The sequence below is a fragment of the Homo sapiens genome, chromosome 5 (genome assembly GCF_000001405.40).
Source record: "Homo sapiens chromosome 5, GRCh38.p14 Primary Assembly".
Classification (NCBI taxonomy): domain Eukaryota; kingdom Metazoa; phylum Chordata; class Mammalia; order Primates; family Hominidae; genus Homo; species Homo sapiens.
Window position 1 is genome coordinate 61224843 of NC_000005.10, and position 7505 is coordinate 61232347.

General features: G+C 46.6%; 1 long non-coding RNA gene across 1 annotated transcript in view, besides 1 other annotated feature; it reads left to right on the forward strand.

Annotated features, from left to right (window-relative positions):
• Positions 1-7238, forward strand: part of SMIM15-AS1 (SMIM15 antisense RNA 1) — a 69765-nt gene extending 62527 nt beyond the window's left edge. The window contains exon 4 of the long non-coding RNA NR_109908.1: positions 7071-7238. This is a non-coding gene — a long non-coding RNA (SMIM15 antisense RNA 1). The remainder of the gene's footprint in view (positions 1-7070) is intronic.
• Positions 2866-3066: a silencer, noted in NCBI's record as "peak5262 fragment used in MPRA reporter construct". NCBI's record gives its function as "represses an SCP1 promoter by STARR-seq MPRAs in K562 erythroleukemia cells {active_cell/tissue: K562}" and the evidence as "EXISTENCE:reporter gene assay evidence [ECO:0000049][PMID:32103011]".
• Positions 7239-7505: the final 267 nt, after the last annotated feature.

Here is a 7505-nt window from a genome sequence, read left to right on the forward strand (position 1 = left end):
CAAAAGTCGTTCTCTTCCCAGCTGGTTATATAAATGAAATTACAGCTTTTGCAATGATTTAAATTTATAATGAAAAATTTTAGTTGCCACTTAAAAAATATATGAGGAAATATCATTTTTCAAAATTATTTTAGGAGGTATGAAAGCAAAAAAATTTCGATGGTTGCTAAACTAGCGGACTGCTTCACATTATTTCCTCTCTTCTCAAAACACCAACTTCTCCCAGATTCTGTTAGCTGATGATCTTGCTTTTTGTTGCACTGCGAAAATGGACACAATCAAAAATGAACCTCCTCACCACACACCACTCATCATATCTACACACCCACAAGCATCTGTACACTCACACTCCACCATCTCATCCCTCCTGTTTGTAGAGATGAACTCTCCAAGCTGTTAACTCAACCCAAGCCCTTTGCTTATGCTCCAGTCACCACCCCTCCTTGCTTGTCCCAGGGCATTGCCCAGCAATTTACTTCTCTTCTGCATCATCCAATTTTTGCCTTTATACTGGGTCATTCTTATTAATATACAAACAGGGTGTTATTTCCTCTCATCTTAAAAACAACAAAGCCTGTCTTGATCTACTTTTCCTTCCAATGACCACCCATGTCCCTCATCTCTTTACATATAATTTTACAATTTTTAGCAGAATTCCTTGAAAGAGTTGTCTATTCTCAAGTCTTTAATTCCTCTCTCAGACCCACTTCAGTGAGGTCCCCCTCCCACTACCATTGCTCTTGTCAAGGTCAACAGAGACCTCTGCTTTGCTATGTCCAGTGGTCAGTTCTTAGGCCTCATCTTCCTGGACCTATCCACAGCAGGTGGCACATTTAACACTCTCTCCGTGAAATCATTTTTTCCTTGGCTTCCCAGACACCATACCTTCCTGGAGTTGCTTCTTCTCAGTCTCCTTTGCTGCTTCCTGCGCGCCTATCCAGCTTCTAGAAACTGGACTAATCCAGAGTTTAGTCCCAGAGCTCTGCAAGATCTTTTCCATCTGCATGCATTCTCCAGTCATTTCATCGTCTCCTGGCTATAAACACCAGCGATACCAGCTTCTCTGCCTGCTCCAGGTAATGTCTCTTTACCTCTGGATCTATTCTCCACTTTTCTCTGCCCTGGTCTCTACCCGGCAGGTTGGCTGGTATGTACTTTATCTGCAGGCCTCTGTGCCTTCTGGATTCTGGCTGGTTGTGACTAATGGTGAGTGGTGGCAAGATATCAAGGGGAAAGAGAAGAGTGATATTGAGCCTTTTTTCCCTCAGCTCCAACTGTGTGAAGACATTTAACCAAAGATAATGTCTCTCATGGGCCTCCTTGGTTTTTATTATTATTATTTTTAAATATAGGGCCTCACTCTGTTGCCCAGGCTGGGGTGCAGTGGCATGACCATAGCTCACTGCATCCCTGACCTCTTAGGCTCAAGTGATCCTCCCGCCTCAGCCTCCCTAGTAGCTGGGATTACAGACTTGAGCCACCATGTCTGGGTAAAGCCTCCTTCTTGATCCAGTTCTCCACCTCCAAGTTCCTGTAACCCCTATCTCCCTTGTTCTTTGATATTTCAAGTAGAACACTGGTGTTCCACCGGCTCTTGTGTTTCCCTGTACCCTCACCTGTAAAAATAGTTCCTTTGTAAATAAATCCTCCTTAAATGTTCCTAATTTGAGTATTCCACTGTTTTCTGTGGCAATCCTGAGTGATACATCCAAATGTCTAGCATCATTTGGAGCCTCCCTTCTGAACTCCAGTCTTCTCTGTCCAGCAGACTGCAGGACACCATTTCTGAGATGTCTCACAGAAACCTCAAACATCATGTCTAGTATTGAGCTCCTTGCATTCCCTGCAGCCTGGTCTGCCTCCCTTCTTCCCATCTCAGCAAAGGCAACAACATCCTTCCTGTGGCTCAGGAATGTCTCTTGGACTAATCAGTCTTTATCGTTTCTCACACCTCACACGGTCCATCAGCAAATCCTGTCAGAGTTGCTATGGTTTGGAGATGTTTTTCTCTTCCAAACCTCATGTTGAAATTTGATCCCCAGTGTTAGAAGTGTGGCCTAATGGGAGGCGTGTGGGTCATGGGGGTGGATCCCTCCTGAATAGATTAATGCCCTAATAGATTTAATGCCTTGATAGAGACTGATAGACTTCTTACTCCATTACTTCCCACAGAGCTGGTTGCTAAAGAGCCTGGCACCTCCCAGCTCTCTCCTGCCTCCTCTCTCACCCTGTGGTCCCTGCACAGGCTGGCTCCTCTTGGCCTTCTGCCTTGATCGGAAGCAGCCTGAGGCCCCCACCAGATGCAGATGCCCAATCTTGAATTTCCCAGCCATCAGAATCATGAGCCAAATAGACCTTTTTTTCCTTTATAAATTACCCAGCCTCAGGTATTCCTTTATAACAACACAGTGCTTCTTTTCACTGGCCACTTCTCACCACCCCATTGCCACTACACTGGTCCAAGCCAAAATCAGTCTTCTCTGGATGAAATGGGCAAAAGCCTTGAATAAGCTTTCACAGAAGCAGAAACACAAATGACCAATGTTCACAATATGTTTAATCTCATTAATATCAGAACAATTCAAGTTCAAATTTGCAATGTAAATCGCTAGATTTAAAAAATATCATAAGTGTCATAAGACAAAGTGTGAGTGAGGATATGGAACAAATGGAAACCCTAATGCCTGCTGTTGGAAATGCCAATTGTGCCATCATGGAGAAGACAATTTGGTATTAACCCCTAAATATGAACTTCACCATGTGTACCAGGAGACCTGTTTTGGAATGTTTACAGCAGCACTGTTTATCATAATAACAAAATCAAACAACCCTTCTCAAAGAAACACAATTTTGAGAAGCTAGAAAGAACTCAGATGTCCATTGACTGAATGAGTAAATGAACTCATGAATATGAATAAATAAATTATAGTATATTCATACTATATAGTTTGGGGCAGTGAAAATGAACGAAGCACAGCTGCACACTGGCTTTCTCTTCAGTCCTGCTGGCCCGTGTTGCTCACACCATACAGTTCAACTCCACAGTGGATCCAGTAACACCGTCCATCCAGTGCCAGTGTGGGCTTTCAGTGCGGCCCCAGCTCCCTTCCTCTTAAATGCCACCTCTGACTCATCCTGCTTCTGGCTTTATCCACCAAATAGTTACTGGACCTCACCTCCAACGCAGGCGCTGTGTGTGTGTGTGTGTGTGTGTGTGTGTGTGTGTGTGTGTGAGAGAGAGAGAGAGAAAGAGAAAGAGAGGTGATTCTTGAGGAGAGAGAAGATTCCAGAACAGTGTTATGATTCTGTTAGGAAGAGGAAGGAGGGAATAGATGCTGGATATGCCTGCACGCAGCCACTGCCCACTACTGCTGGTTTGTTTCTGTGTCTTCTACCATAGTGCAAACTCCTTAAGGGGAGAAACCATGTCAGTCGTCTCTGCATTCCCCTACCACAGTGCCTGGCACATGCCAAGCATTCAAGAAATATTGAACAGAAGCATAGCATGAGAGAGACCTAACTGGTCAGACCTATGGAAATAGACCTAACTGAAACAGAAACCAGGTCAAGAGCCTCTTGCCAGAACCAACACGCTCCCTGGGAGAGCTGCTATCAAAAGATAAGGAAATGGGTGGATGACAAATTAGGAAGTAGAGGCAGTTTAAGGGCTACTCTGAGTGGCAAAACAAAAGCACGGTGGTCAGGTACAATGATCGCCCCTGGGGAAGGGAGCTAAGTTCGCAAGGCTGTGACCACCGTTGCCTTTTAATGAAATCTTCAGAAGTAACCCCATAGGAAGGTGGTATTTTCCTGATCTTAAAAGAAGCACAGCAGGAGTTTTTGTTCTCCAGCCGCGGAGTCGTGGAACATGGCTTGCCATCCAACTGGAACGGCATTTTTGGCAGCAGTGCCTTTTGGTAGCTTTTCCCAGCTTGCCCTCTGCATAAGCCAGCCACTGCCCAGGCAGGCTGTGGTGGCACCACAATGCAGATGCACCAGGCCCTCTGGGCTCACCCACTTGCCTCTGTGTTTGAAATCAGTCCAGTGTTAATGCATCATACACCCCTGGTGATGACTCATTTACAACCCCTGTGTCTGAGAAGGTGCCGGAGAACTCAGAGAAGAGAAGCTCAAAATTGTCCTGACTTACGGTCAAAACACTAAGATCTGGCCAGTGTGTGCAAGTATTTCAGGACCAGAATCGACCCTCCTCCCCCGCTTCACAGCAGGGTCATCACATGTGGTTACGCATGTGGTTGCACGGAAGCTCTGGCTGCGGTATAGGGGGCACTGAATCCAGATTGCACTCTGCTCACCAAGCTTGCAGGTGGGGTGCTTCCTCCATCTGCCTGGACGATGGGGCTCTTTTCTTCTCCTAGACACTTCTGCTTGCCAAGCCAGGGCTGCATCTGCCTAGAGGGGCCCTCTCATCTAACTGTTACAGAGGCACAGTGTTACCTTCCCATCCTATCCTTAGGACAGACCCAGAAGCCTTGGGCTGATTTGAGCTTGCTTTTTGTCCCAGCAGGAAGTATGCAAGTATGCAAGAACCAGCAGCTTTCTTACTGGCAGTGAGACCATCCGAGATGCTTGTCCTCCTTGATCCTGTTCTCTGCCAACTTCCCATTCCCCTTCCTGCAGATGGGCCGTGATCCTGGCCTATCTTCCCAGCTTTGCTCATGGTTATCTGTGTCTTCCTGGTTGCTGTCTGTCTGCAGAGCATCCTCTGACCCATTGATCACCCTGCTGGTGGGGGCCGTGGCTGCTCAGTCTGCTCTCAACCTGCCCCCTGGCTCCTCGCCAGGCTGATTCCTGGCTCATGGCTTAGCCCTCAACTTCCGTTTGTTTGTGCCTAGGCTCCTGCCTGGTTGCTGACACCAGCCCTGAATGCTGCTGGCCTGGGCTTTCGGTCTTGACTCTGGGCTTCAGAACTTATAGGCTTAGCACTGACAGCAACCTCTGATCTGGACAGGAAGGGGTTGTTTCCCACGGATGGAGTGTATCTGTCCACCCCAATTAGACATCTTGGAGCAGCCAGGCCCAGCCTGCTGAGTGTGCTACACATGCCCCTGTTTACAGATGGCCTCCTGGACCCTCTTTCTCTTCCAGCACTCACTCCCCACCCTGTTCTCCTGGTCAGCAACCAGAGTTCATTCCACTGTTATCTGTAACCCTGTGAATCTTTCTAGATTTCAGATGATCTTTCTCAGCATTGTTTAAGCAATTTGCTCACAGACTCCATCATAATATCCTTTATAGCTTTACCCAGCTCCTAAGATCCTCCCAACCTGTGCCTCCCCCAGGAGCCACCCTCTCCCCTCTCCTCTCACCCCCTCACACACAGCCTGCTTTGGGGGTGGGGTCCAGACACCATTTAGTTCTGGGCAGAAGCGGGATGAGTCAGAAGCCGAGTTTAAGGGGAAGGGAGACGGGCTGCCCTGAAAGTGCGCATTGTTGCTGGAACGAGAGTAGCTGTTCCCATTCTGGAGCTGAGCTGCGCAGTGTGTCTGGATATGAACAACATGGGCCAGCAGGGTGACATTAAGCCAGGATTGCAGAGGAATAAGAGACTAGGCATTACGGACTAAATGTGTGTGTTCCTCCCCCCAAATCAATATGTTGAAGTCCTAACCCCCAGAGTGATGGTGTTGGAAGATGGGGCCTTTGGGAGGTGATTAGAATTAGATGAGTGTGGGATCCTCATGATGGGAGTGGAGGCCTCATAGGAGGAGGAAGAGTCTCTCTCCTCGTGTGTGTGTGTAGGGGTGTGCGAGAGTGTGTGACTGTGTTTATGTTTGTGTGGGTGTACGTGTGACAGTGTATGAGTGTGTGTAGTTGTGAGTGTGGGGGCATGTGTGAGTGTATGTGTGAGTGTGTGTGAGTGTGTATATGTGAGTGTGAGTATGTGTGAGTGTGTGTGTTAGTGTATGTGTGTGAGTGTTAGAGTGTGTGTATGTGTGTGAGTGTGTGTGTATGTGAGTATGAGTATGTGTGTGCCCCATGCACCAAGGAAAGGCCATGTGAGGACACTGTAAGGAGGAGGCCATTTGCAAACCAAGGAGAAGTTTCCTCAACAGACACCAACCCTGTTGGTACTTTGATCTTGGACTTTACAGCTTCTAGAACTGTAAGAAAATCAATGCTTAAGCCATCCAGTATATGGTATTTTGTTACGGCAGCCCGAGCTGACTAAGACACTAGAGGAGATAATCCTGTCGAAAGCCTGGGAGAAAACATTACACTTTGAAAAATGAGCTTGGGAGTCATCGTGCCTCCTGCTCCCTTCCCCTGACCCCAGCCCCACTTCTGGCTGGGACCTTTGAAGAGTCCAGTTCCCCTTCCCCCATAATTCATTCTGTCCACCTACTCATTCCAGCACACTTTTTGATCTGATTTCTATGGCTCAGCTCCAAGGTGCTTGCCTCAGTCCCCTGGGCCGCAGGAGCCCACTCTGTACTGCTCCTTTGCTCCCACCTGACCCTCTCCCACGAGATGGTTTTGGCATTCAGGCTCTGCTCCCCTGAACCTGGCTCCAGTGAAGCATGAATGCAGTGAGGGCAGCGGTCCTTTCTTTACACTCCGCAGCACCTAACGTGATTTGGGACACGCGTCATGACTAATCAATGTTTGTTAATTGATTGATGAATAGATTGATTATAAGCACATTTTCCATTACACTTTATAACATGGTATTTTTCTAAGTGTGCTATAAGGACCTGTTGTACCAGAATCTCATTGAATGTCTTCTAAAATGCAGATCTTGGACCCCACCACACTGCTAGCAAACCAGAATTTGTGAGGGGAGAGCTCTGGCATTTGTGTTGTGGTGGATGAAAGATGGTTACAAATTATTTGACATTTTCCCCATCTAGAGGTGGGATCTATTTCTCCACCCCTTGAAATGCCCATGGCTGCTCTGATCAATGGAATGATGCAATGCCAATTCCAGAGCTAGCATAGGTCTCTAGGAGCCCTGGGCCACCAGAGCAATGTGATGAGACCCTAAGACCATGTGGAGACAGAGAAAAACATGGCTAAGCTAGCTTTACAATCACCCTACAATTTTCCAGTCATGTAGGTGAAATTATCTTGGACTCTCCAGACAAGACCAGCCACCAGCTGAATACCAGTGGGTGACCCCAGTCAATCACATGGAACAGAAGAATCACTCAGCTGAGCCCTGCCAGAATTCTTGATCCACAAAATCCTGAAGTGCAATTAAATGATGGTTGTTTTAAGCCCCTAAATTTTAAGGTGGTTTGTTAAATAGTGATAAACAACAAGAATATGCAGGTGTCACAAATTCTACAGGATATACATTTGTATCCTAGAATTTAGGAGTCATTGTTATAAAAGGATCTGACATTAATGAGTAAAATTTTATGTTAAATAATAAAAAGGATAATTCATTTCATAATGTATTATCTACATATCCTAGGGGAAGGAAGATGTGGTAAAACAAAATCTCACAATTTATGTTGTTGGTACTCATTTTATTGGACAGC